The sequence below is a fragment of the Homo sapiens genome, chromosome 13 (genome assembly GCF_000001405.40).
Source record: "Homo sapiens chromosome 13, GRCh38.p14 Primary Assembly".
NCBI lineage: Eukaryota > Metazoa > Chordata > Mammalia > Primates > Hominidae > Homo > Homo sapiens.
This window is the reverse complement of record NC_000013.11, coordinates 101,045,456-101,073,363: the sequence shown is the minus strand read 5'-3', so window position 1 is coordinate 101,073,363 and position 27,908 is coordinate 101,045,456. Positions and strand designations below refer to the sequence as shown.

Sequence of the window (27,908 nt, the reverse complement as noted above, 5' to 3'; positions counted from 1 at the left end):
CAACAAATATGCATTTTGTGAGTGTTGTTCTTTCCCTCCCATCTTTAATATTTTGGTAATGAAAGTCAAACAGGAAGCCCTTTAATTTAATGTGTTCAGTGGATAGTTCACTGCCCCTCAGCTATATGCTAGGCCCTAGGTCTTCAACAACTCCAAGGCACACTCAAGGAGCTTACCTCAAGGGCTCTGAGTTACTCTTCCTTTATACTATAAAGTATACTTTATACTTCCTTCTTACTATATCCTGTCTTCCCCAAGCATCATCCTTCTGGTCTCAGTTTAAACAGGTCTTTTGCCTTAAGCTAAGACAGCCAGCTACATGTTCTTATGCTGCTCTATAGTTCTCCTTTGTAATAAGGAGCTGTAGTGAATTACTGGCTTACATTCATTTATTTTATCTCTTTCTCACCGTAGGACAGACCAATGCTGTGTTAAAAAATGTCTGCAGTGATGGAAATCTGCACTGTCCAATTCGGGAGCCACTAGCCATATGTGGTTATGGAGCATTTAAAATGTGGCTAACACAACTGAGGAACTGAATTTTAGTTTTAATTTTATATTATTACATTTTAATTAACATAAATTTAAATTTACATCGCTGCATGGAGCTAGTGGTCACCATATTGGACTGCACAGCACTCAACTGTCAGTAGGAAGAAGAGATAGGGCCGCCTATGTCTTTCTTACCAGTCTCTCCCCAAACTTGGCACAAACCTAGCACACAGTAGGAGTGCTGGGACTTCATGCATGAATTAACAAGGAGAATTTGCCAAATCAAATAGAATACAAGGCAAAATTTAATGAATCTTAAATAAAAATACAAGCAGAATGCTGGGATTATAGAAGAGAGAGCTAGTTTATCTGGCTGAGAAAAACCAGAAAGTTCTCTCAGAGGTGTCGGCATTTTATAGAGCCTGTAAACAATGAGAGAGTTTTTGATGACTTAAGTCTTGTGCTATTCCATAGCATCCCATAACAGTGTTCCAAGAATGGGGCTTACTCCTCACACAATTTGAATGTGAATTTTCTATGTGCAGGCACATCTTGTTTTACTGTGCTTCCCTTATTGCCTTTTGCAGACATTGCATTTTTACAAGTTGAAGGTTTATGGCAATCTTGTGTGGAGCAGGTCTATCAGGGCCATTTTTCCAATAGCATGTTTGCTCACTTTCTGGTTCTGTATCACATTTTGGTAATTCTCACTATTTCGGACTTTTTCATTATTATCTGTTTTGGTGATCTGTGATCAGTGATCTTTTGATGTTTCTTTTGTAGTTTTTTTTGAGGGGTGCCATGAACCATGCTCAATAAGATGGAGAATTTAATTGATAAATGTCATATGTCTTCTGATTGCTGCACCGAACATCTGTTTCTCCAACTCTTCTCTCTTTTCTTGGGCCTCCCTATGTCCTGAGACACAACAATATTGACATTAGGCCGATTCACAACCCTACAATGGCCTATAAGTGTTCAAGTGAATAGAAGATTCACACATCAGTCACTTCAAATCAAAAGCTAGAAATGATTAAGCTTATGGAGGAAGGCATGTCAAAAGCTGAGTTAGCCCAAAAGCTAGGTCCCTTGCACCAAATAGTTACTCAAGTTGTAAATTCAAAGGAAAAGTTCTTGAAGGGAATTAAAATGCTACTCCAGTGAACACATGACTGATAAGAAATAGCCTTATGGCTGATATGGAGAAAAAATTTTACCGGTCTCAGTAGAAGATCAGACTAGCCACAACATGCCCTTAAGCTAAAGCCAAATGCAGAAGAAGGCCCTTACTCTCTTCAAATTTATGAAGGGTGAGAGAGGTGAGGACGCTGTAGAAAAAAATGTTTGACGCTAGCAAAGGTTGGTTCATTATGTTTAAGGAAAGAAAGAAGCCATCTCCATAATATGAAAGTGTAAGTGCTGCTGATATAAAAGCTGTGGCAAGTTATCTAGAAGATCTAGCTCAAATAATTAAGGTGGCTACACTAAACAATGGATTTTCAATGTAGACAAAACAGCCTTCTATTGGAAGAAGATGCCCTCTAGAACTTTCATAGCTAGAAAGGAGAAGTCAATGCCTGGATTCAAAGCTTCAAATAACAGACTTACTCTGTTGTTAGGGACTAATGCAGCTGGTGACTTTCAGTGGAAGCCAATGCTCATTTACCATTCCAAAAATCCTAGGACCCTGCAATGGTTTGACTGTGTCCCCACCCAAATCTCATCTTGAATTGTAGTTCCCTTAATCTCCATGTGTCGTGGGAGGGACCAGGCAGAGATAATTGAATCATGGGGGTGGTTTCTTCCATCCTGTTCTTGTGATACTGAGTGAGTTCTCACTATAGCCGTCATGAGATCTGATGGTTTTATAAGAGGTTTTTCCCCCCATTTTCTTGGCACTTCTTGCTGCCACCATGTGAAGAAGAACATATTTGCTTCCCCTTCCGCCGTGATTGTAAATCTCCTGAGGCCTCCCAATCCCTGCTGAACTGTGAGTCAATTAAATCTCTTTCCTTTATAAATTACCCAGTCTCAGGTATGTCTTTATTAGCAGTGTGAGAATGGACTAATACAGTCTCTTAAGAATTATGCTAAATCTACCCTGCCTGTGCTCTATAAATGGAACAACAAAGCCTGGATGACAGAATAGCTGTTTGCAGCATGGTTTGCTGGATATTTAAGCCCACTCTTGAGACCTACTGCTCAGAAAAAAAAGATTGCTTTCAAAGTAGTACTGCTCATTAACAATGCATCTACCTGGTCACCCAAGAGCTGTATCAGGAGATGTATAAGGAGATTAACATTGTTTTCATGCCTGCTAACACAACATCCATTCTGTCCATGGATCAAGAAGTCATTTCAACTTTCAAGTCTTATTATTTCAGAAATAGATTTCATAAGGCTAATAGCTGCCATAGATAGTGATTGCTCTGATGGATCTGGGCAAAGTATATTGAAAACCTTCTGGAAAGGATTCACTATTCTACATGCCATTAAGAACATTCATGGCCAGGCGCAGTGGCTCACGCCTGTAATCCTAGCACTTTGGGAGGTCAAGGCGGGTGGATCACGAGGTCAGGAGATCGAGACCATCCTGGCTAACATGGTGAAACCTTGTCTGTACTAAAGATACAAAAAATTAGCCGGGCATGGTGGTGGGCGCCTGTAGACTCAGCTACTCGGGAGGCTGAGGCAGGAGAATGGCGTAAGCCCAGGAGGCGGAGCTTGCAGTGAGCGGAGATTGCACCACTGCACTCCAGCCTGGGCGACAGAGTGAGACTCCGTCTCAAAAAAAAAAAAAAAAAAAAACATTCATGATTCATGGAAGGAGGTCAAAATATCATCAACATTAACAGGAATTTGGAAGAAGTTGATTCCAGCCATTATGGATGACTTTGAGGGGTTCAAGACTTCAGTGAAGGAGGTCGCTGCACATGTGGTTGGTAGAAATAGCAAGAGAACTAGAATTAGAAATGGAACCTGAAGACGCGACTGAATTGCTGCAGTCTCCTGATCAAACTTGAAGGAATGAAGATTGCTCCTTATGGATGATCAGAGTGGTTTCTTGAAATGGAATCTACTCTTGCAGAAGATGCTATGAACATAGTCATAATGACAACAAAGGATTTATAATGTTACATAAAATTACTCGATAAACCAGCAGCAGGGTTTGAGAGGGTTGACTCCAAATTCGAAAGAAGTTCTATTGTGGGTAAAATGCTAGCAAACAGCATCACATGCTGCAGAAAAATCTTTCATGAAAGGAAGAGTCAATTGATATGATAAACTTCCATGTTGACTTGTTTTAAGAAATCGCCACAGCCACCCCAACCTTCAGCAGCCACCACCCTGCTCAGTCAGCAGCTGTCAACATTGAGGCAAGACCCTCCACCACCAGCAGAAGATTACAACTCACTGAAGGCTCACATGATTGTTAGCTTTTCTTAGCAATAAAAGTACTTTTTATTAAGGTCTGTACCTTTTTGGACATAATGCCATTGTGCACTTAATAAGCCACAGTATGGTATAAACATGAGTTGCATGTGCACTGGGAAACCAAAACATGCATAGGACTTTATTGCAATATTCACTTTATCACAGCAGTCTGGAACTGAAACTGCAATGTCTCCGAGGTATACCTGTAGAGTCTATATTCCCAAATCTTAACCCATTACTTCAGTCAGAGAAAAACTTGCAAATGTCTTTTTATTTGATTTTCTGCAGTTTGATCACAGTGGCTACTTATCACTTGGGGCTGGTGGTGGTGGCAGAAAGAATATCTAGTGGAGATCAGTTCATTTTCATTGTGCTTTTAAAAATGGCAATAACCTTGGGATTCTACAAGATAACAGCATAGCATAAGTGAAATATTCTTCTTTATTTCTGCTACAGATGATGTACCCAATGTATGTGGCTTTTGAAAGCTTACTTTGAAGTTAATTATATGCTATATGTTTAGGAATCTATTCATTAACTATAGTCAGCTAAAAGAAATTTGTATTCTCTACTCTTATCCTCTCCTTCTTCCACCCCAATGCCCCAAAGGTTCAGCCTCCGTTTTGTACTCCAGATGAATTTACATACTGGGCAACAGACTGTGGAAATTATGCTGGGGCACTTATGTATTTCTGTTCATTTTATGTCATCATTGCCTACATCATGCTAAATCTGCTTGTAGGTAAGTGATGTTAGTTGAATACTTTTTACTCTTTAAACTCAGGTACTTAGATAATTATGTATTATTTTCAAGCAATTACCCTGGATTTCTTGGGGTGGGTGTTTCATGGCATTAATTATAAATTGTTGTCTCTCAATCCAGAAGCTGAAAAGACCTTTGAAAGGCACGTAAATGACAGTTGACTGCAATTTTAAGAGTTGTAGCATTTATTATGATCATTAATTTCAAAAGGGCTCTTCTCATGGATTGAGTTGAACAAATATCAGAGAGGACTATCTTTCTAGCCTTGAAATATCACATTTATGTTTTTGAAAGGTACACCTTATTTACCCAGATGTGGGCCCACCCAGAACTCAATTTGACCTTTAAAAATGGCCCTGGAACTCTCAACTAAGAGTTAAAGCCAGCTGGCATGACTATCTCTATACACAGAATGTGTGTTTGTGCTTACGACCCTCATGTTTTGGAAAGGCAGGAGCTGGAGAAATAGCTTAGTCCAAGTGTAAACATGCCAATTTGGAAACCATACTAAAAGCACTTTAAAAATTTGGCTTATGATATAGGTGATAGAATCCATTATTAATAATAGATGTTTTACTCTTTCTAAAATATGACAGATTAGCATAATGGTCTAACTTCTGAATTTTTCTTTTTTTAAAAGCCATAATTGTGGAGAATTTCTCCTTGTTTTATTCCACTGAGGAGGACCAGCTTTTAAGTTACAATGATCTTCGCCACTTTCAAATAATATGGAACATGGTGGATGATAAAAGAGAGGTATGGGAGTGGGTTGTTGTTTCATGCCTCACCTCAAAGAGACTTATCAACATGTCTCAAACACTTAAATGGTTTTCAGGTTGGCAAATGACACAGATTGAATTTTTAAATGGTGAATTGCAGAAAGCCATCATTTACAGTTCAGCAGAATCCTCTAGGAAGGGAGACAGCATCGTTCCTCCTTACATGATCTTCAACCATGAACATCCTCTTCTTCAGACTTTCCGAAGGCCAGCAGGGAAAGGAAGCCAAAGGGACTCTGTAGGAATCAGCCTTGGGCTCAGGCCAGAAAAAGAGGTGACACTGAAACTACCAAAGGGACAGTATATTACAAATTCATGATCACCTCAAACTCAAGCAGCAATCCCAATTAAAAGTACAAAGGAGTTATTTAAGTGGCATCTGAAGGTGTGTATTGGATTATTTTTGAGTTACTACTTGAATGTTTTAACCATAAAGTTTACCCAAGGTTTCTTAAAATTAGCCAAAGTAGCTGCAGTCTGCTCTTCCTCTTCTTGTCATTGTCGTCATCAACCTCCACCTCCTTCCCTTCCTCCTACTCCTCCTCCTCTACCCCCTCTTCTTCCCCCTCCTCTTCCCCCTCCTCTTCCCCCTCCTCTTCCCCCTCCTCTTCCCCCTCCTCCTCGTCCACCTCCTCTTCCACCTCATCTTCCCCCCTACCTCCTCCTCCTCTACCCCTTCCTCTACCTTCTCCTCCCCCACCTCCTCCTTCTCCACTTCCTCCTGTTCTTCCTCCCTCTCCTCTTCTCTCTTCCTCATCCAAGCAAACACTCAGGCACAGTTCTAGGCACTGAGGATATAGCAGTGAACAAGATGGAACAGCTCCTGTACTCACAGAGCTTACAGTCTAATAGGTGGAGACAAATAATAAAAAGTGAAATAATAATAAATAGTGCAGTATTTCCAGAAGTTAAAACTATAGACAGTAGTTGGGGTTGGGGCTGCGCCGGCAGGAATGACCATGAAGGAGGCCTGAGGGGTGCTGTGGGACCTCATGTCTGAACAACAAGGAAAGTTCTGCCAGGGTATTTGGGGCGAGATCTGGAAATAGTTCAAGAAGAGTTGATGAAGGGCACAAAGACCAAGAAGCCAGCCTGGGCATCATAAATGAGGGGCTCCGGCAGTGCACTCACCCCAATTTGCTCCCTCTTCTTGGTACCCCTGCCCGCCCAGGCTTCAGTCTTGAGGGCTTTCCTTTCAAGGTAGTGAGAGCCCTGCGTGCAGGGCATCTGAGCTCACTCTCAGCTCCTCAGGATCCACCTGTCTCTCTGTAACTGTCACCCACGGGAACCTGCTTTCATGCAATACACACATGAAGACCCACTGCCCTGCACACCGAGATGTCAGTAACTGGCAGGCAGTCATGGTCGCCAGTGTTCCGCCCAGCACTTTCATTCAAAGATACAGCCAGGGGGCATGGTGGTTTGTGTTGCATGGAAGGTAGCAACACATCTTAGATTCTCAGTGTCTGGATCAGTTCTGACCCCAGAAGAGGGCAGAGCTGAAGGCCTAATTCTCTTGTATATAGTTTTTCTAATCCTGAAGAAGACATGAAAAGGAGTTAGTTAGCTCTTTTTTTTTTTTTTTTGAGATGGAGTCCCACTCTGTCTCCAGGCTGGAATGCAGTGGTGCAACCTCTGCTTCCTGGGTTCAAGTGATTCCCCAGCCTCAGCCTCCCAAATAGCTGGGACTACAGGCATGTACCACTATGTCCGGGTAATTTTTTTATTTTTAGTAGAGACTGGGCTTCATCATGCTGGCCAGGCTGGTCTCGAACTCCTGACCTCAGGTGATCCACCCGCCTCGGCCTCCCAAAGTGCTGAGATTACAGGCATGATCCAACACGAGTTATCTTTTAATGGTAGAAAAACATGTAATAAACATTGAGACGTTCCTAGCATCCCGATTGAGTGAAGAGGAGGATTACACGTGTGTGTCTTGTCCATTACCTTGTGTGAGTACATTATGGCCCACTCAGTGCATGTGTTGGAGGTGGCGTCTGTGGGACAGGCTATGCAAGCATCAGCCTGGTGAGAGCAAGAGTAGGGTCCTGGGGGGCTGAAGGGGAGCTTCCCATGCCTCACTCCAAATGCTGCAATGTGGTGACATCCCAGAAAGAGAAGCACCAGCAGAAATTTATCACTCAGTTTTCTATCCTCTGCTCTTCTTAGTGCACTTAATTCTACCAGGCTCCAAGGAGGTGACCAGCTTTCTTCACATCTGGTGCTAATTATGCTAGCTTTTGAGAAATAGCACCTTTTTTTTTTTCTTTTGAGAAACCCAAGTGAATCATCGAGGCCTGATGATTTGCTACTTCTTGTGCTCTGCCCCGCAGGGGGTGATCCCCACGTTCCGCGTCAAGTTCCTGCTGCGGCTACTGCGTGGGAGGCTGGAGGTGGACCTGGACAAGGACAAGCTCCTGTTTAAGCACATGTGCTACGAAATGGAGAGGCTCCACAATGGCGGCGACGTCACCTTCCATGATGTCCTGAGGTACAAGGCAGGCTTTCGCAGGGCTGAATGGGGGCCAGAAACCACAGCTGTCAGCCTTCAAGGCCTCTGCAGTACAATTAACAAGTGTGTTTCCAACCCAAAATGCCACATCTGCTGTGGTCGTGAAGTGGGGTCACATGTCCCAGGCGCTAAGTGCCCTTTCCTGCCGTCCTCCAGTGAACATTTCCAAGTAGGTGCCTCGCAGGGGAGGGCTGGGCGGCTGTGCCCTGATGTCCCGTAGGGACCCCTGCCCACTGAGGTGCACCCCGAGGGGAGAGGTGGAAGGGATCTGGGAGAGCACAGTCCCACCCCTTCCCTGTGATGCGGGAACTGCCCAGAAGAGCTGAGTGACTTGCTTGCGGTTACAGGGCTCTGGCAAAGCTGGGACTAACATGCAGAGCACCTCACTTGCATGGGTCTGATGAGAATTTGCCTGGCCTGCTCTGTGATGGTTGCCCCGTTGGCTAAAACACCAGATTTTCCAGACATTTCATGAGCGCCCAGACAGGACAGAGGGTCAAATGGAGTCTCTGCCTTTTCTTCTTCCTGGGAGACTTCTGTATTTGTTTCCTTGGGCTACTGTAACTTAGCACCTTAAGCTGAGGGATTTAAACAACAGAAAGGTATGGTCTCGAAGTCCTGGATGCTGGAAGCCCGAGATGGAGGTATTGCGGGGCTGATTCCTTCTGAGGCCTGTGAGGGAGAATCTAGCCTAGCCTCTCCCCTGGCTGCTGGAGGTGCGCTGCCAATGTTGGTCATTCCTTGGCTTGTAGAAGCATCAGCTTGGTCTCCCTTCATCTTCACATGGCATTCTGTTTGTGTGTGTGTGTGTGTGTGTGTGTGTATCTATGTTCAAATTCCTCCTTTTATAAGAACATCTGTCGTATTACATTAGGAGTCCATTCTACTCCACTGTGATCTCATTTTAACTTAATTACTAATTACATCTGCAATGTTCTATTTCCAAATAACCTTACGTTCTGAGGTACTAGAGGTTAGGACTCCAACATATCTTTTTTTGGGAGGAAACATTTAACCCATAACAGCTTCTTAAGCAGGAGTCCATGGATAAAACAGAGGCCCATGGACTTGCAAGGGGGAAACAATTACATCTTTATTTTCACTAATCACTCTTTGAAATGTGTCATTCTCTTCCATGATGAACGTAGGCAACAAACCACAGTCGCATTAGCAATATCCATGTCTTTGTTACCAGGAGAAATCATAGATATTTTCAGATGACATAACTGACTGCCTTGACTGACATCTTAAAATATCATTTATGCTCACCAGTGCTTCTGAGTTATGGTAGTCATTTGAGCTCTGCTAGATGGTATTATTTAATGGAATAATAAAGGAAGCACTTACTTATGTTACTTTATCACTGCCGTTTTAAAGTAAATTTGAGAATTGTATTTTAATATAATTGGTTTCCTTTGTAATACGGTGTATTTCATTCCGTGCATTTAAAGCATTATTTCAAGAAATGTCCCATAAGCTCCACTGCCACAGGGGTCCATGCCACAGAAAAAAATAAGAGCGACTGACTAGCAGTAGCTATTTTAATCACATAGCAGTACCTACAAGGAGTGTGTGGGATATTGTGTTGTGTCTCAAATTTCAGGAGAACTCAGGTGTACAGAAATATGCTTGTGGCCAGAAGCTGAAAAAAAAAAAGGATCAGATCAGCACAGGAAGAATCTGGGAAAAGTTCTCTCAAGTTATCAATTTCACCTCCCACTATCCAGTTCTTCCACCAACAAGCTAAAAAGCAGAAAAACATGGGACGGAGAAATGCATGTGAATCACAAAGGAGGTCATCTCTGTCAGAATGTTTCTGAGTCTTTCCTCCTAGTGGCAAATTTTTTTGGTTGACATGAGGCAGATAGGCATACTGTTGTCATTAATAATTAATATTCAGCCTCTTTGGAACACACCGATGTATCTAATAAAAATAGACCCAGGCAAAATCTGTGATGGGGCTGTCTCTCCCCTTCCTATTTATTCCCCTAGCCCAGTATATGATAAAAACAAACAGTGAAGATAAAAGCAATGAAGCTTTGATGGGATTCTTGATGAGTCAGGGAAGAGAGGAAGAGAAAATTCATTTTTTTTCCCTCTGTGGTGGGAAGAGATTTAGCAAAGAGAAGCCCAATGTACCAGTGCTCTCAAGAGCCTCCAGGCTGTGATTTGGGCTCTAGGATGGAACTGAGCTCACAGAAGTGGGTAGCTCACAGGTGCACCAGGGTGCATGGGTCTGAGCCATAACCTGGAATCCTGTGGCTACACCTGGGTGCATCACACTGCCAAGAGGGGCTGTCTTCTCCTCTGGTGGTGGACTGCTCAGTCCAGGCATCCTGGGAGCTGCCTTATTGCCCCATGAACTGTAATGCTGTGTTGGCTTTACCTACAACTGCATGGGCCTGCTGTGTGTCAAGGGTTAAATGGGAGTGGATATTCAACCCTGGGTTTGTTTGGTAGCCTCTGAAATTAATAAGGAAGACCAGGCATGGTGGCTCACACCTGTAATCCCAGCTCTTTGGGAGGCTGAGGCAGGTGGATCATTTGAGGTTAGGAGTTTAAGACCAGTTTGACCAACATGGTGAAAACTCGTCTCTACTAAAAATACAAAACTAGCTGGGCGTGGTGGCACACACCTGTAATCCCAGCTACTTGGGAGGCTGAGGCAGAAGAAATGCTTGAACCCAGGAGGCGGAGGTTGCAGTGAGCTGACAGCACGCCATTACACTCCAGCCTGGTCAACAAGAGTGAAGCTCCATCTCAAAAAAAGAAAAAATTAATTAATAAGGAAGATACAGAAGGATGAATGAGAGAAACAGAGAGGGAAGTGGGATGCAGGGAGTAGGGATGTGTGACGCACAGCCGAGCATATTAACCATCACCTCGGGGGGCTAAGTGTGAAGAAAGTATGGGAGGTGCGGTCTTCCTTCTGCAGAGAAAGTCGCGAGCCTTTTCCTAGCCTGGATCTTTTGCTTTACAGGCACTTAGATGGCACTTACTACTATAAGAGCCTCACAGATATTAACTCACTTAGTCATTAAATAAAGGAGTTACCAGGACTATCTATCATCTTTGTTTTACAGACGAGGGAAGGGAGACACAGAGAGGTGACAGGACCAGCCCAAGACATGCGGGTGGCGAGGGGTGGCGTCAAAACACTAGACTTATTAGACTGAGTGATGTCCTCTCTGGATTTTGACGTATCTAAGGGTGTAAATCTCAGGTGAATCAGAGCTGCGATTGCAGGTGTGTTTCTCCCACCAGCATGCTTTCATACCGGTCCGTGGACATCCGGAAGAGCTTGCAGCTGGAGGAACTCCTGGCGAGGGAGCAGCTGGAGTACACCATAGAGGAGGAGGTGGCCAAGCAGACCATCCGCATGTGGCTCAAGAAGTGCCTGAAGCGCATCAGAGCTGTGAGTGAACTGCACACATGCAGGTTGGGTCCCCGCCCCGCCCCGCCCTGCCCCGCAGGAGGATGAAAGAAAAGAGCTTCGTGAACATGGGATTAGCTCCTTCTGTGATCAGCCTTCTATCCCTTTAAACTATGTCCACTACCTCCACTTACAGTGGTCAGATCATGATGCAGACTTTCACTCTAGTCCACAGTCAGCCCTGCCCTCTTTAGCAGAGTCCATTAGGAGTTTCCATGGAATCCCATTTTTATAATATGACATGAAGACTTAAAAAGCAGTTTATTGGCCAGGTGTGGTGGCTCATGCCTGTAATCCCAGCACTATGAGAGGTCAAGGGGGGAGCTCAACTCACTTGAGGCCAGGAGTTGGAGACCAGCCTGCCAACATGGCAAAACCCCATCTCTACTAAAAATACAAAAATTAACCAGGCGTGGCACACATGCCTGTAGTCCCAGCTACTCAGGAGGCTGAGGCATGAGAATCACTTGAACCTGGGAGGTAGAAGTTGCAGTGAGCTGAGATCATGCCACTGCACTCCAGCCTGGGTGACACAGTGAGAATCTGTCTCAAAAAAAAAAAAAGTTTATTGATATTAAAATATGATGTCCATTTATTAAACTCAACTGTTCAAAATTCTAGAATTTTCCACATATTGAATTTGCAAAACTACTTTAAATTGCTGCTAAAAATTTCAACAAACTGTGATAATGTCATTTATTCTGAAAAGACCACCTCTCAAGATTAATGATGTTTCCTGCTTCCTGACTTATAAGCCTATAAGATTCTCTAACTCATAAATTAATGAATGTATACTGCATTGACATATACTGTATTTACAGTGAATGTTTCTATGAGATAATTACTTTTATGAATGCTTTTGGCATGTTTCACAGACAGGGAAAAAACCCAAAGCAATCACTAAACATTTATATATAACAGAGATTGTTTCAATCCTCTTCCTCAGAGCAACAACGTCAATTGCAGACACATGTATTTCTATTGGAGGAGAAAAGGTTCCCAGAGAAAAGATACAACTCAACCTCCTATAGCAAGGCCAGCTGCCCAGTGATGTCCCATCACTGCTGGCCACTGTAGCTATGTTAGCTCCAGGGATCAATCTGTCCTCCTCTGGCTCTGAGAGGGCACAAGGAGTCCTGGCTTTAGTATATGCCGAGACAGATTGGTCTCCTGGATTGACCTGAAAACTTCAGAACCAAGACAAGCACAAAGGTTTTCTCATCCACCCAAGGCTCTTTGCCTCTTACAACTTGCAGGAAAGTGGGAAAGGGGTTGGGATTGTATTGGCTTAATGAGCCTAGAATAAAATAAGAGGAGAAAAAATAGAATAGCCACATTAGTAATTTTAAATAAGACATAAGCTGGGCACAGTGTCTCATGCCTGTAATCCCAGCACATTGGGAAACTGAGGCGGGAGGATCGCTTAAGACCAGAAGTTTGAAACTAGCTTGGGCAACAGAGTGAGACCTCCTCTCTGAAAAAAAAAAAAAAAAAAAAAAATTAATTAGCCAGCCACAGTCATGCACACTTTTAGTCTCAGCTTCTCAGGAGGCTGAGGCAGGAGCATAGCTTGAGCCTAGGAGTTTAAGGTTACAGTGAGCTATAATAATCGCACCACTGAACTCTAGTCTACGGGACATAGTGAGATCCTATCTAAAAAAAAAAAAAAAAAAACAGAAAACACCAACAACAAAAAGAAAAACAAATAAATAAAATACAAGCATCAATGACCGTCACTATTCTGATTGTTACACAAATGAAAATGGACTGGGAAGTCAATGCATACCTCTCTAAGCCCACCTTTGCATCAGCCTACCTTAATTGAACATTGAAATTAGTTCAGGATCCTTACTTGGAAATTCCTAAGAGGTCACCCGTCATGCAGGTCTTAGGAGAGGGGAGAAGAAAATAAGATTTGTGTGGCGGTGGGGCAGGCAGGATGCTGGGCTTATTTTACTGAACAAACAATCGCATTTCCATAGAAACAGCAGCAGTCGTGCAGTATCATCCACAGCCTGAGAGAGAGTCAGCAGCAAGAGCTGAGCCGGTTTCTGAACCCGCCCAGCATCGAGACCACCCAGCCCAGTGAGGACACGAATGCCAACAGTCAGGACAACAGCATGCAACCTGAGGTATGGGCACGAGGCGTCCTCTGTCCCAGGACACTCTGTGGGCTTCTTTCTTTTAATAAAAATAAATAAAATGGGTGCTGGTCAGATCATTCAAACAAGGTGACAATATTTCTAATAGGAATATTTTCATTAAAAAAAAAAAAGGCAACGGAAATCCATTGATCCAGATTATGTCTATGTCTTTGCCATCTTGGATGCAGTTGAGGTTATTTAAAAAGAGTCTGACTCATATGAATGCCAAAAAAAGTGAATGCCCTGAACTTCATAATTCTGTAGTTTTATTTTTGTCTAAAGAGTTAACATCAGCTCTAAGGGCTGCATTTGAATCTGGGTATATTACATGGAGTATGGTTTACAGGAAGCTCTGCCCTAAATATTTTCCTCCCTTCTCTAAAGTCATAGAAATTTGCAGTAAAATCAGTGAAAATGTTTGTAATTAGCTTTCAACCTCCTTAAATAATCAGACTCATTGAAGATATATCCTTTCCTGGTTGGGTATCAGAAGAACATATGGAATTCAGGACAATTGGCTTGAGGAGTTTCTATTTATTAAGTCACAGCATATTTTCATTTTCAAACTCTATGTATGTGTCTATATAAAAAAGTACAAGGAGTTATCAGCGTCCTGGAGAGTCCTGTGCTGTGAGAAGCAGCTGGCTGGGAGGACCTGCCCCTTTATGAGGCAGCAATTACGATTTGAGGTTAACAACGTGGAGCTGATCCCGTGCTCTGTGCAGAGCCCCCAGCAGCACCAGGCTCCATGGTGTGCAGCAACGCAGCCAGGGGCCAGAGTACCTTTGGAAGCCTAAGGCTCCACGGCCCAGCAGGGTGCTCCAGGAGGCCCACTGGTGCCATAGCTCAGTTTTCAGTAGATCTCATGTTTTGGGCTCCCCAGCCTTTAGAAATCATCTGCCACCGACTGCAGGGACTTCTGCGGAGTTAGTCAACCAAGGGGCAAGGGGAGGCATCTGCAGTGGCCTTGCCACTGGTCACCCTGAAGATGGTTGGCAATGTCTCGCATGGGAGAGGGAGGCAGGCTGAAGTCAGGACAGACAGTGAGACAGGGCTAATGAGGTTGGGGAAAGTGATGATTTCAGAGCCCTCTGTTTTTAGATGAAAAAGCCTAAGAAAGAAAGAGGTGACAAAAAAAAAAAAAAAAGGATACTAAAGAGATGTGAAGACCAAGGCTTTTGTTAGGAAAGGGAGAGGTGACAGGTGAACCTGAGAACAGGTGAAATGTGTGGGAAGTCTTGGCATCTCTCTTTCTTTCACTGTAGCTTAGATTGTTATCAGCTCCATCCTCCACCAGGGCCCATCATACAGCTTTGCCTGCAGAGAACTCTTTCCCTGAAGCTCTAAGTGTGGATCTCCAGGCTGGTGACAGTAGACTGCCCCCGCCCAGCCCGTCCCCACTGCCCCACCTTCCTTCCTGCAGTTCCCCTTCCTTACCCCCTGGTTTGCCAGCGAAGATATGAAGGGAAACAATGACATTCTCAGGCATGGAGGGGAACGAAGCAGTGGGGGTTACCCAGGACAAGATGTCCCAGGAAGAGTGGTGTCTCCTTCAGCAGGGCGTGCAGTGGTGGCTCTTTTTCTTCTGTGACCCTTTATACCCATTTTCACTTTTCCCCATTGTGGACACTCTGAGTCCATGTTGTTCTTCCCACTTGTCCTCCTGCCATGTGTTTTCCTTTCTTATAGTAAAAGGAGGAGAGCGCAGGGTTAAAAAGACGGTAACTGTGTGCTTCTCCTCCCATGCAGACAAGCAGCCAGCAGCAGCTCCTGAGCCCCACGCTGTCGGATCGAGGAGGAAGTCGGCAAGATGCAGCCGACGCAGGGAAACCCCAGAGGAAATTTGGGCAGTGGCGTCTGCCCTCAGGTAGGTCCATCCAGGCATTTCTCCAGCGATCGAGGCATTTTAAAGGTATTTACTCTGTTTGTGTGTTTTGGGTCTTGCCTTTCAAAATGCAAGTCTGCATCTACAGTTGTTTACAGACAGCAACATAATGAAAAATGTAGTCTTGTCAAAAACATTGTCCCCCAAAATAACTTCTCTAAATATGACTTACATTAGCCCCCATTTTCCGGGTACATTTCAGGCTATCATGGTTGAGAAGCCAGCACCTATGAAAAAGACAAGATTCAGCAAGAGGGAGAAATTTCCAAGGGCTTTCTGTGTGCCTCAAGGCATGCTCAAACATGGGCAAAAGTATTCAACTGAAGAGGGAGTGGGCAGATGCAATCATTCAGAAAATGCCACGAAGTTCTCAAAAAAGGGACAGGCCCCCGATTTCTCTCAGCACACTTTGCAGCTGAGCCGGTCACTGGCTTTAGGCAAGCTGCTTTACCTCCATACAATAACAAACAACAACAACAAACACTTACGTAGTACTCACTGTATGCCAGTCACTCTTCTAAGTGCATTACTTGTGTTCTCTCATTCAATCCTTTAATAAACAGTCCCATTATTTTCCATATTTTACTGATTCAGTAAGAGAATTTTCTTCTATGAGCTTCTTCTCTATAGGGTTTTGGAAAGCCAGGATAATCCCATTAAGAGCACTCAGGAATGGAGGGAGAGCAATGCTCCCCACAGCCCAGTGTCCTTGTACATGTTTTTTTCTATAGATAACTAAGTTCATGCTAAAGCAGGAGCTTTATAATGCTCTTTAACTGTGCCCCAACTTCAGCCCAATTGAAAGGAGAAGATGTGTAGCATATGTGTTCCACAAAGCAGATGACAGCACAGCTTACATTTTGAGGCTGACGATGTTCAGTGGGTCTTCACTGGGACTACCACCAAGGAAAGTATCCCCTTTCATATCCAGGAACTTATTTTTCAGAGATCAGAGAAGATCTAGGTTCCTCCTGATTCAAACACAGCAGAGAATGACAGCATCAAGACAACGTAGATGGTGGTGCCAGGTCATAAATTACAAGCTGAGTCGGTTCAATTTTATCCTGTAGGCAATTAGGAGCTAGCAAAGATTTCTGAGCAGTATGTGACTTTTGGAATCTGTGCTTTAGGAAGTTGACTTGGCAGCAAAGGAGGGAATTGTCTATGACAGAGCCTGGAGGCAGGTTACAAGCTGGAGGAAGTTACCGTGGTGTGAGCACAAGGCAACAAAGGCATGGACAGAGCTGGGGGCCAGATACTGCAGGGACAGATAGGAGAGGTGACCTGGGGAGAATGCACAGTCCTTGGTATTCATTTAAATGGACAAAAGAAATGATGCTGTCAAAAGTACTTCCATTGGGCCAGGCGCAGTGGCTCACCCCTGTAATCCCAGCACTTTGGGAGGCCGAGGCAGGTGGATCATTTGAGGCCTGGAGTTCAAGACCAGCCTGGTCAACATGGTGAAACCCTGTCTCTACTAAAAATACAAAAATTAGCTGACCGGTAGTGGTGTGCACCTGTAATCCCAGCTGCTTGGGAGGCTGAGGCAGGAGAATCACTTGAGCCTGGGAAGCAGAGGTTGTGGTGAACCAAGATTGTGCCGCTGCACTCCTGTCTGGGTGAGAGAGTGAGAACCTGTCTCCCAAAAAAAAAAAAAAAAAAAAAAAAAAAAAAGTACTTCCACTGGTCCATGCCTAGGTGGTCCCCACCAAAAACGGTGATCGTGAAATAGACATGCTCTTGGGGTCAGGCTGAGTTTGAGGAGGCAGAGGAGAAGAAAAATAGTATTTTGAGGGGGCAGCAACAATGTCACAGGTGTCATGCTATGCACTTTCCTAAGTCATCTCATGTAACCTGTTTTAATCCTGACAATAGTCTAATTAGGACATTTTCATTGTCTTCATCTTACAATGGAGGAAACTTGGGTTCAGAGACGTGAAGTTGCCCATAGCTACATATCCACAGGTTGCAGAGGTGGGTCCCAACACCATGACTGTGAGGCCCCAGAACCACACCTTTCCTCCCATACCCTCACTGCATCCCCCCTCGCCTTTACTGTGGGTCACACTCTCCTTCCTTTTTGTTTTTTTTATTGCATATGCTAATGAATGCACAGGTTTCTGTGACACTTAATAGTTCCCGAATTGGAATTTTTTTAGTGATTTTCTAGTTTTTTTAATTATTTCAAAATGAAAGGGGTGAGCAGCACGTTTTTTTCCCAAATGACATCATTAGTTGTCCATGAGCACAATTAAAAAAAAAATCTATCGTGAACATAAAGAATCAAGTCCTGAAAAGGATGTTTACTTAGCATCTGTGGCTAGGACACGTTAGCCAAAAGTATCACTGATGGGAATATCATGGGTTTTTAGGAGTGATTACAATAGGGTGAAGCAATACCAAGTGGCTCATAGGACTCATTAATTCCACAGCCCCAAAACCAATAAGCCATTCAGTGTCCTCAGTCAACTTACGGTTTGGAGGAAGGACAACCATGAAATCTGTCGTGTGCAAAATGAACCCCATGACTGACGCGGCTTCCTGCGGTTCTGAAGTTAAGAAGTGGTGGACCCGGCAGCTGACTGTGGAGAGCGACGAAAGTGGGGATGACCTTCTGGATATTTAGGTGGATGTCAATGTAGATGAATTTCTAGTGGTGGAAACCGTTTTCTAATAATGTCCTTGATTGTCCAGTGAGCAATCTGTAATTGATCTATAACTGAATTCCAGCTTGTCACAAGATGTTTATAAATTGATTTTCATCCTGCCACAGAAAGGCATAAGCTGCATGTATGATGGGTTACTATCAATCATTGCTCAAAAAAATTTTTGTATAATGACAGTACTGATAATATTAGAAATGATACCGCAAGCAAATGTATATCACTTAAAAATGTCATATATTCTGTCTGCGTAAACTAAGGTATATATTCATATGTGCTCTAATGCAGTATTATCACCGCCCCGCAAAAGAGTGCTAAGCCCAAAGTGGCTGATATTTAGGGTACAGGGGTTATAGCTTTAGTTCACATCTTTCCCATTTCCACTAGAAATATTTCTCTTGAGAGAATTTATTATTTATGATTGATCTGAAAAGGTCAGCACTGAACTTATGCTAAAATGATAGTAGTTTTACAAACTACAGATTCTGAATTTTAAAAAGTATCTTCTTTTTCTCGTGTTATATTTTTAAATATACACAAGACATTTGGTGACCAGAACAAGTTGATTTCTGTCCTCAGTTATGTTAATGAAACTGTTGCCTCCTTCTAAGAAAATTGTGTGTGCAAGCACCAGGCAAAGAAATGGACTCAGGATGCTTAGCGGTTTAAAACAAACCTGTAGATAAATCACTTGAGTGACATAGTTGCGCAAAGATGTTAAGTTTCTTAAGAAACCTTTTAATAACTGAGTTTAGCAAAAAGAATAAAACTATATAGCTCAATTTATTTAAAAAAATCTTTGCATGTGTGATGTTATCATTGGCTTCATTTCTTACCCAAGGTATGTCTGTTTTGCCATAAATCAGCAGAGTCATTTCATTCTGGGTGATCCTAACACACCATTGCTACGTTAGATTTGAAATGACATCTCTGTTAAAAGAATCTTCTATGGAAATAATGGTGCCCTGCAAAATCTTCCTTTGAACTCACAGGTTAGGGATCACACAACTTACTTAATCGTTTTTTGTTTTTGTTTTTTTTCCTTATATGTCAATGGCCCATGTCCTCCGGGAAAATTAGAAAAGCAAAATGATTACAAAGTGCTGTTAGATTTCTTGTGCTGGGCCAGCCAAGTAGAAGTGGACTTGACTTGGACCTTTAACTATTTTATTACAGATTGGACATTTGCTGTTCAGATGTTTTTTAACAGAGGGATTATCTCAGAATCCTGTGACCTCCAGGTTGTTTTATAATCTATTTTTCTCTATTTAACATTCCTCAGATAGATAGGCAAATAGGACATTCCTTCTGTGTCACAGAAGTATCGTGGTAGTGGCAGTCTACAGTTTATATGATTCATTGTAACTATGAGATAAAGAACAACCAGTCATGTGGCCAAAAGGATTAGATTTGATTTGATGTTCACTTGGAGTTTACTTTTTGTACATACAAGATAAAATAAATATTGGATTTGTAAAATAATTTACTCTGAGTTGACCATTTTTAAACCCTTTTCTTGGTGGGGCAGGCACTCGGTAGCAGCACATTGCAAACCTGGATTGAATATTCAGTCCATAATTAGTTGGCAAAAGCTGTGTCCCTGATACTCATTTCAACTCAATTCTCTGAGCCAGAATGTTCCTTTCACACTTGTGCTGATAAGGCTGAGTGAATACCCTGTGCCCTCTAAGCCTACAATGAACAGAAAAGGCACTTACAGGTCCAGGGCATGGGTCTGTACTAGTGCTGCATAAAAACAAGATGTTTTTGGCTCATTACACTTGAGTAATACAGCTTCATTCTCACGAAACTGCTGAGCCCTTTCTAAAACGTCTGGAATTGATGTTCAGCAGAACATCATTGTTGTTCATTCTGCAGTGAAGCCAGGGGCAGAATACCAATGTATTTAAAGCCATAGCACCCTATATTTTCAATGAAGCGAAACAGTCACACACTTCCTGTAGGACTCCTCTCTACGATTTTCCTGAAACAGGTAGAGCATATGCAAGCCAGAGAAATTAAGCACCACCCCCATTTAGATTTTACCCCTAGATATGTAAACATATGAAAAATCCCATTACACAGATGGGAAAACTTGGGTCACAGTGTTCCCTGGTCCTTAGGGAAGCCAGACACTGATACTAATCCTGTCATCACGCCACCCACTGCCTTTAATTAGAGGGTGCTGTCAGTTCCAAAGGCACCAGAAAGCATATGGGGTGGAATACTTACTTGACTCAGAGCCCCTGAGAGAGCAGGCCACACATGTGTGACCTGTATGGCACTTCAAGGAGACTCAAAGGGAACAAGGATGGACAGAATGGAAGGGCCAATGCTATTCACTCTATTTTTTTTTTTTTTTTTTTTTTTTTTTTGAGACGGAGTCTTGCTCTGTCACCCAGGCTGGAGTGCAGTGGCACGATCTCGGCTCACTGCAAGCTCCACCTCCCGGGTTCACACCATTCTCCTGCCTCAGCCTCCCAATTAGCTGGGACTACAGGTGCCCGCCACCATGCCCAGCTAATTTTTTTGTATTTTTAGTAGAGACGGGGTTTCACCATGTTAGCCAGGATGGTCTCGATCTCCTGACCTCGTGATCCACCCGCCTCGGCCTCCCAAAGTGCTGGGATTACAGGCGTGAGCCACCGTGCCCGGCCCACTCTATTCTTAATGGTACTTCCAGACCAACATACATCAGCAGTGTCTGGCTGGCTGTGCCTTGGCCAAGCTGAATGAGATAAGGGTACACAGAAGAAAAACCAGTGTTATAAAGCCTTACAGGAAAGCAGCTTTAAGCCAGTGGAATGATGTGTTTGCCTGTTTCCTTGTAGGAAGTGGCATTCTATACATGGGTGGTTTTCAGTATATCAGTAAGCAGTGGAACTGTTTCTAAGGCCTTCAACAGATCCCAAAATTTTAACCAGCCAAAAGCCAGGCAGCCCTCGTTGAAGTTGAGGTGAAGATGAAAACGGCACTCATGTGGTCTCTTCTCACCCACTATTATGGGTTGAAGTGTGACCCCCAGAAGGATAGGTTGAAGTCCTAACCCTTAGTACCTGTGAATATGACCTTATTAGGAAATAGGGTCTTCGCAGATATAATTACTTATGAGGAGGTCATACTAGAGGAGGGTAATCCCTTACTCCAACATACCTGGTATCCTCTGAAGACACAGGCATGTGGGGAGGATGGCCATGAGACGGTGAAGGCAGAGGCATCGGAGCTATGCTGCCCAGAGCCAAGGGACACCTGGGCTACCAGAAGCTGCAAGAGGCAAGGAAGGCGCCTCCCAGAGGCTTCTAAGGGAGAATGGCCCCCTGTCAACACCTTGATTCTGGACTTCTAGCCAGAAGAACTGTGAGAACATACATTTCTGTTGTTTTAAGCTGCCCAGTTTGTCTGCTTTTTTATCATTTTATCATTTTAGTTTTTTAGTTTAGTCTCTGTCTTCTACTAACTCCCTTTCCAATTCTACTTTAGGACTCTCTAACATTGCACCTCCTTCTTCCTCTATTTCTTATTCATCCCACATAGCCACAGGTACACCACAGGCTTGATCTTGTCCACCCCAGATACCCCCAGCCCACAAGATCTCCTTTCACACCTCTAGAAATACATTTGTATGCACTTCTGACCTCTGCCTTGAGTAGTTCTTCTATGATGCTTCCCAAGCTCTTGTTTCTATCTCCCAGGGAACTAGCAACCCAAAAAGCTAACAGCTTTCTCATGTGCACTTCCCCACCTCCCTTTTCTTTTTATCTCAGTGTTTTTGTACATGTTCATTCATCCCCTCCCCATTCTTTTCTGTCTTATAAAGAACCTCGCTTCTTCTCCAAGTCTTACTTCTCCACCTGAGCCACAGATCTCTTTATTTCCATCAAAGCTTTCTCAGCATCTTCTATATACTGTGCTGTGCCTTGTGAAGAAGCCAGAGCCGAGCATACCAACATGATCTTTTGCTTGAACTGTAGTAGGAGAGACAAGACAGATGTGCGGGTCCCCATGATATAAGGTAATTGTTAAATCTGCCATAGAAAGGTGGAGTGGTGATCAGAGGAGGCTTTTGGGGTGGTGATGCCATGTGAATTAAGCATTAAAGAAGGAATACTTGGATTTAAATTGTCATAGATGGGGAAGTAGCAGACAGAATGATGCCTGGAATAACAAAAGGAAAATTATCAAGGAGAGCGTCAGTTGACTCTATTCAATGAATTCCCAAGTCTTCTGAATAGGTGTGCAAAGGCAAGACTGGAGACTTGGTCAAGGGCACAAAGAACCTTTAATGCCCACATTTCATGTGGACAGTGATCAGTAGAAAAGGGGAGTCCATGGAGGTGGAGAGGGAGGGAGATTATGGTAATAATGCAAGACCAGGCTTTAGGAGGAGCACGCCGGGAGCAATGTGCAAAATGGAATTGAGGAGGGAGAGACAGATGCAGGGTGAATCTTTACAATACCCCAGCTTTCCAAGAAAATTGTGGTTCTAGTTCTCCAACCTCAAAGTTGAACTTCTGTAGCAGCATGGGACATGGAAGGAGGGTGGAGATGTGACAGGGACTTACCAGACAAAAGGGGCTGCAGGACCTCACCACACTGGGCTCATTCATCTTGCACCAATGACTTGCTCTTCCAAACAACACTGCCCTTTGTTAATCTTTTCTTGAACCAGGACCCACAGAAATACACTGACCATTTTCTGGACCTAATTCCAGAATACGCTTTCTCTCCTAGCTTTCTCCCACAGGCCTTATAATTATAAATTTTATTTAACTTACCTTTTTTGTTTGATTCTCATTTCCCTGGACCACTTGTTAATCTTTTACATTATAATTGCTTGGGGGTACTACTCCTGGATCTTGCAAGCTGAATGGAATGTACAAGTTGGGAGTTTACTAGGTAGAGTTTTGCAGTTGATGGGAGAGGGATGGCCCCTCCAGACTCACCTGCTCTTAACAGCTATCCCCCTATGGAACACCCCTTCTCTCTTTGACTTTAGGGTTGCATTTTGAGATGTGGGCATCAAACTGCTCAGATTTTATTGCGGGGATGGGATGAAGAAGAAGAATAGAGGTGCTGGAAGAAGAAAACTAAGGCAAAAAGAAACAAAAGTTCCCTAGAAAGACACACATTCTCCCTTTATCTACTGACCACAATGGTCTGGAATGAGGACTTATCATAAATAATGACAATTAATTTTTCCTGGATAGAATTATGGTCCATCACCATTGACACCTCTTCACTCCCTATCTCTGACCTAGCTGGTTCCAGGTCTCACCATATATTTTCCATATCATCTAAGCACCTCAATAGTCCCCAGACTTCTCTCCAACCATGCTCAAGGTCATGGCTTCCTATTAAAAAAAATTCTGTAGGCAGAAAAGTGCTTTCAGTCTCTCTCTTCTCTCCAACGTGAACCATTCTATCTGCCCTCCTTCCTCCTTGGCTTCAAACACAGATGCTCTCTCTCTTCCAACCCTTTCCAACAGACCTTTCATCTGTGCCAACTCTTGTTTCTGACACGCCACCTTCTTATTGCACCCCCTACATTCCTGAACAGAAGTCACATCCAGCCTGAACATGCTGCACACTTCCTGATTCTCAGGACATTCTTCTTCCATCAGGACAGAGCTCAGCAACGTCCAATGCAGATTCAGTACAAAAGTTACACCAGAGAGATCTCCTTTCCTGTGATGATCCTCTGAGAATTCAATTCACAGGGGGAAAAAAAACAAAGTAGCTTTCCAAAAGACAGGTTATTCTCTAATTAGGAAGAACTGTCTGAACTCTGCCTATAGTAATTTATCAATGGAAAGTCTAAATAACACAAGACACACTGTAATTGCCTCAGATCGACTATTGTCCGATGAATGAATCATCAGGTAGTTCACTTACTTACTCATCCATTCAAGATTGGGGCAGTCACGCTTCTTGCTCTGTGAGTCTACAGATGGATGCTCTGATCTCATGGTGTTTATGGTCTATTGGGGAAGCAGAAAATAAACAGGTAAATATATAAGTCAGAAGGCTTTAAGTGTAATGGAGAAAAATTAACTTGACTGAGAAGGATAGGCCTTCCTCTTGGATGTAATTTAGTCATTAAGGGACTCACTGCTCAGTTGCCATTTCGGCAGAGACCCGAGGCAGTGAGCATGGCAGCCATGGAGATGTGCTTCCCACAAAAGGTGCTATTTGCTGACAGCTTCTAGCTGCTGGTGCTTTCAGGATCTGCCTCGGTCTGTTTTTTTGTTTTGTTTTGTTTTTTACTGTAGTAAAATGTATTTAGCATAAAATTTGCCACTTCAACCATTTTTAAGATTTTAAAGTGGTGTTAATTATATTCACAATTCTGTGCAACTATCACCACCACTATCCAGTTTCAAAAATTGTTAACACCTCAAACAGAAACTGTACCCGTTAAATGATAACTCCTCATTTCTTCCTTCTGCAAGCCTTGGACCTTCTAATCTATATTTTGTCTCTATGGATTTACCTGTTCTAAATATTTACCATAAGTAGAAGCATACAATATTTGTCCTTTTGTGACTGTTTTATTTCACTGAGCACAGTGTTTTCAATGTTCATCCATGTGGTAGTGTGTGTCAATACTTCATTCCTTTTCATGGCTGGATAATATTCCACTGAATGTGCATACTACGTTTTGTCCATCCACTCATCTGTTGATGGACATTTGGTTGTTTCTCCCTCAGCTTTTGAGTGGAGGTCACATGCTTCCTGGATAATCCTCAGCCAATGACGGAGCACAATGATACAAAGGCTTGCCATTTCCCGGGCAGCGTGGAACCCTTCCACAGGCAATCTCTGTGGCAAAAGCTCCCTGCTGGGCTGGCTGACACTTTCTCAGTGCAGTATGCATGGAAATCTGAGGCTCTTCATCCAATCCTCCTATCCCCTCCTATCCCTGCAAGGATGTCAGACCTGCACTGTGGTCTGAAGGCCCAGCCTTCCCACTCCTGTCCCTTCTCTCCTTTATCTTTCACAGGCCTTACCCCCAATAAATCTTGAGCTCTCCTAATACTGCCTTGGAGTCTGCTTCCCAGAGGACTCATCCAACTTAGTGAGAGAGTGGGCCATGGAAAGGCCTCGGGCAAGGGTGTTCTGGCAGAGGAAATGTGAGGTGTCAAGGCCCTCAAGTGGATATAGGTTTGGTCAATTGGAGAAAACAGCAAGGAGGCCATACTGACTTGGAGTCTAGATATTAAAAGGGAAAGAGGGATGACATGAAGTCAGAGAAGTCACAGGAATCATATCATTCAAGACTTCCTAGGCTGTGGTAGTCCCTCACTATTCCTATCTCCCAGTAATTCAATCAAATATTAACCTGGGTACTGCTATGATGAGATTTGGCAGATGCAATTAAGATAGCAGACCTTAAACCAGGGAGTGGAACCCATCTAAAATTAGAGAAATGTCTCTGGCTGGAGTGAGAGAAATGTGGCTGGAGTGAGAAGAGTAAGGAGGAAAGATCTAAAGCAAGAGAGGGACCTGGACCCTACCTGCTGTGGGTGGAGGGGCCACCTGGAAAGATTGAGGGATGCAAGCAGCATCTAGGAGCAAAGGCTACCCTGGGCTGACCGCCAGAAAGGAAACGGAGATCTCATTGCTACAACCACAGGAACTGAATTCAGTGAATAACCTGAATGAACAAAGACACACATCCATCTCCAAAATTTTCAAAAGGGAATACAGCCTTGTCAGCCCCTTGCTGTCAATCTGATGAGACTCAGGACAGAGAAACTAGCCAAGCCTACGAGACTCTGACCTGCAGAACTGTGAGTTGATAAATGGGTGTTGTTTTTAGCTGCTAAGATGGAGACTATTCGTTATGGCAGCAATAGAAAACTAATACAAGAGAGTTGGCAAGATGGCTGAATAGGAACAGCTTCAGTCTGCAGCTCCCAGCAAGACCAACGCAGAAGGTGGGTGATTATTGCATTTCCAACTGAGGTGCCCGGTTTATCTCACTGGGACTGGTTAGACAGTGGGTGCAGCCCATGGAGGGGGAACAGAAGCAGGGTGGGGTATCGCCTCACCCAGGAAGTGCAAGGGGTCATGGACCTCCCTCTCCTAGCCAAGGGAAGCCCTGAGGGACTCTACTGTGAGGGACTGTGCTATCCAGCCCAGATACTATGCTTTTTCCATGGTTTTTGCCACCCACAGACCAGGAGATTCCCTCGTGTGCCTACACTACCAGGGCCCTGGGTTTCAAGCACAAAACTAGGCAACTCTCTGGGCAGATAAACAGCTGCAGGAGTTTTTTTTCATACACCAGCAGTGCCTGGAACCCCAGTGAGACAGAACCACTCACTCCCCTGGAAAGGGGGCTGAAGCCAGGAAGCCAAGTCTTCTCGCACAGCGGGTCCCATTCCCACAAAGTCCAGCAAGCTAAAATCCACTGGCTTGAAATTCTCGCTGCCAGCACAGCAGTATGAAGTCAACCTGGGACAATTGAGCTTGTTGGGGGAGGGGCGTCCACCATTACTGAGGCTTGAGTAGGTGCTTTTCCCCTTACAGTGTTAACTCTGACTGCAGAACTCACCGCAGCATGGCAAAGTACCTGGGGCCAGACTGCCTCTCCAGATTCCTCCTCTCTGGGCAGGGCATCTCTGAAAGAAAGGCAGCAGCCCCAGCCAGGGGCTGATAGGTAAAATTCCCATCTGCCTGGGACAGAGCACCTGGGGGAAGGGGCGGCTGTGGATCCAGCTTCAGCAGACTTAAACGTTCTGCCTGTCAGCTCTGAAGAGAGCAGCGGATCTCCCAGCACAGTGTCCAAGCTCTGCTAAGAGACAGACTGTCTCCTTAAGGGGGTCCCTGACCCTCATGCCTCCTGACAGGGAGACACCTTCCAGCAGGGTTCAACAGACACCTCATACAGAAGAGCTCCAGCTGACTTCTGGCAGATGCCACTCTGGGACGAAGCTACTAAAGGAAGGAGCAGGCAGCAATATTTGCTGTTCTGCAGCCTCCACTGGTGATACCCAGGCAAACAGGGTCTGGAGTGGACCTCCAGCAAACTCCAGCAGACCTGCAGAAGAGGGGCCTGACTGTTAGAAGGAAAACTAACAAACAGAAAGCAATAACATCAACATCAACAAAAAAGATGCCCACAGAAAAACCCCACCCAAAGGTCATTAGTATCAAAAATCAAAGGTAGATAAATCCACGAAGATGAGGAAAAAACAGTGCAAAAATGTTGAAAATTCCAAAAAACAGAATGCCTCTTCTCCTCCAAATGATTGCAACTCCTCTCCAGCAAGGGCACAAAACTGGATGGAGAATGAGTTTGACAAATCGACAGAAGTAGGCTTCAGAAGGTGGGTAATATCAAACTCCACTGAGCTAAAGGAGCATGTTCTAAACCAATGCAAGGAAGCTAAGAACCTTGATAAAAGGTTAGAGGAATTGCTAACTAGAATAAGCAGTTTAGAGAAGAACATAAATGATCTGATGGAGCTGAAAAACACAGCATGAGAACTTCGTAAGGCATACACAAGTATCAATAGCCAAATCGATCAAGCAGAAGAAAGGATATCAGAGATTGAAGATCAGCTTAATGAAATAAAGCGTGAAGACAAGATTAGAGAAAAAAGAATGAAAAGGAACAAATAAAGCCTCCAAGAAATATGGGACTATGTGAAAAGACCTATGATTGATTAGTGTACCTGAAAGTGATGGGGAGAACGGAACCAAGTTGGAAAGTATACTTCAGGATATTTTCCAAACATACTTCAGGATATTTTCCAAGAAACATACTTCAGGATATTTTCCAAGAGAACTTCCACAG

General features: G+C 43.7%; 1 protein-coding gene and 2 long non-coding RNA genes across 12 annotated transcripts in view, besides 4 other annotated features; 1 reads left to right on the top strand and 2 right to left on the bottom strand.

Moving 5' to 3' along the window:
* NALCN (sodium leak channel, non-selective) overlaps positions 1–19,588 on the top strand; it is a 363,404-nt gene extending 343,816 nt beyond the window's left edge. For all 10 annotated transcript variants that reach the window (XM_011521069.3, XM_011521067.3, XM_024449336.2 and 7 more), the window contains 7 exons: positions 4,537–4,669; positions 5,331–5,446; positions 7,803–7,960; positions 11,246–11,396; positions 13,397–13,546; positions 15,308–15,425; positions 17,876–19,588. In XM_011521069.3, the coding sequence (XP_011519371.1) occupies positions 4,537–4,669; positions 5,331–5,446; positions 7,803–7,960; positions 11,246–11,396; positions 13,397–13,546; positions 15,308–15,425; positions 17,876–18,069 (1,020 nt within the window). In that variant the 3' untranslated portion in view covers positions 18,070–19,588. The remainder of the gene's footprint in view (positions 1–4,536; positions 4,670–5,330; positions 5,447–7,802; positions 7,961–11,245; positions 11,397–13,396; positions 13,547–15,307; positions 15,426–17,875) is intronic.
* On the bottom strand, positions 5,676–10,652 carry LOC124903202 (uncharacterized). Its single transcript, XR_007063855.1, has 3 exons — positions 10,618–10,652; positions 9,545–9,623; positions 5,676–5,755 (listed from the first exon to the last, which is right to left on the bottom strand). It is a non-coding gene; the product is annotated as an uncharacterized LOC124903202 (long non-coding RNA).
* Positions 7,569–8,069: an enhancer, noted in NCBI's record as "H3K4me1 hESC enhancer chr13:101717647-101718147 (GRCh37/hg19 assembly coordinates)". NCBI's record gives its function as "activates a minimal SCP1, AML or CMV promoter by ChIP-STARR-seq in naive H9 embryonic stem cells {active_cell/tissue: H9 hESC(naive)}" and the evidence as "EXISTENCE:reporter gene assay evidence [ECO:0000049][PMID:30033119]".
* Positions 8,070–8,570: an enhancer, noted in NCBI's record as "H3K4me1 hESC enhancer chr13:101717146-101717646 (GRCh37/hg19 assembly coordinates)". NCBI's record gives its function as "activates a minimal SCP1, AML or CMV promoter by ChIP-STARR-seq in naive H9 embryonic stem cells {active_cell/tissue: H9 hESC(naive)}" and the evidence as "EXISTENCE:reporter gene assay evidence [ECO:0000049][PMID:30033119]".
* The window catches only part of NALCN-AS1 (NALCN antisense RNA 1), a 350,962-nt gene continuing 337,131 nt past the window's right edge, over positions 14,078–27,908 (bottom strand). The window contains exons 5-8 of the long non-coding RNA NR_047687.1: positions 23,999–24,084; positions 17,918–18,207; positions 15,932–16,414; positions 14,078–15,670 (exon numbers count right to left, since the gene is read on the bottom strand). This is a non-coding gene — a long non-coding RNA (NALCN antisense RNA 1). The remainder of the gene's footprint in view (positions 15,671–15,931; positions 16,415–17,917; positions 18,208–23,998; positions 24,085–27,908) is intronic.
* Positions 23,376–24,575: an enhancer, noted in NCBI's record as "BRD4-independent group 4 enhancer chr13:101701141-101702340 (GRCh37/hg19 assembly coordinates)". NCBI's record gives its function as "activates an origin of replication core promoter dependent on BRD2, P300/CBP, MED14 and CDK7 cofactors, and independent of BRD4, by STARR-seq in HCT116 cells {active_cell/tissue: HCT116}" and the evidence as "EXISTENCE:reporter gene assay evidence [ECO:0000049][PMID:35650434]".
* Positions 26,340–26,841: an enhancer, noted in NCBI's record as "H3K27ac hESC enhancer chr13:101698875-101699376 (GRCh37/hg19 assembly coordinates)". NCBI's record gives its function as "activates a minimal SCP1, AML or CMV promoter by ChIP-STARR-seq in primed H9 embryonic stem cells {active_cell/tissue: H9 hESC(primed)}" and the evidence as "EXISTENCE:reporter gene assay evidence [ECO:0000049][PMID:30033119]".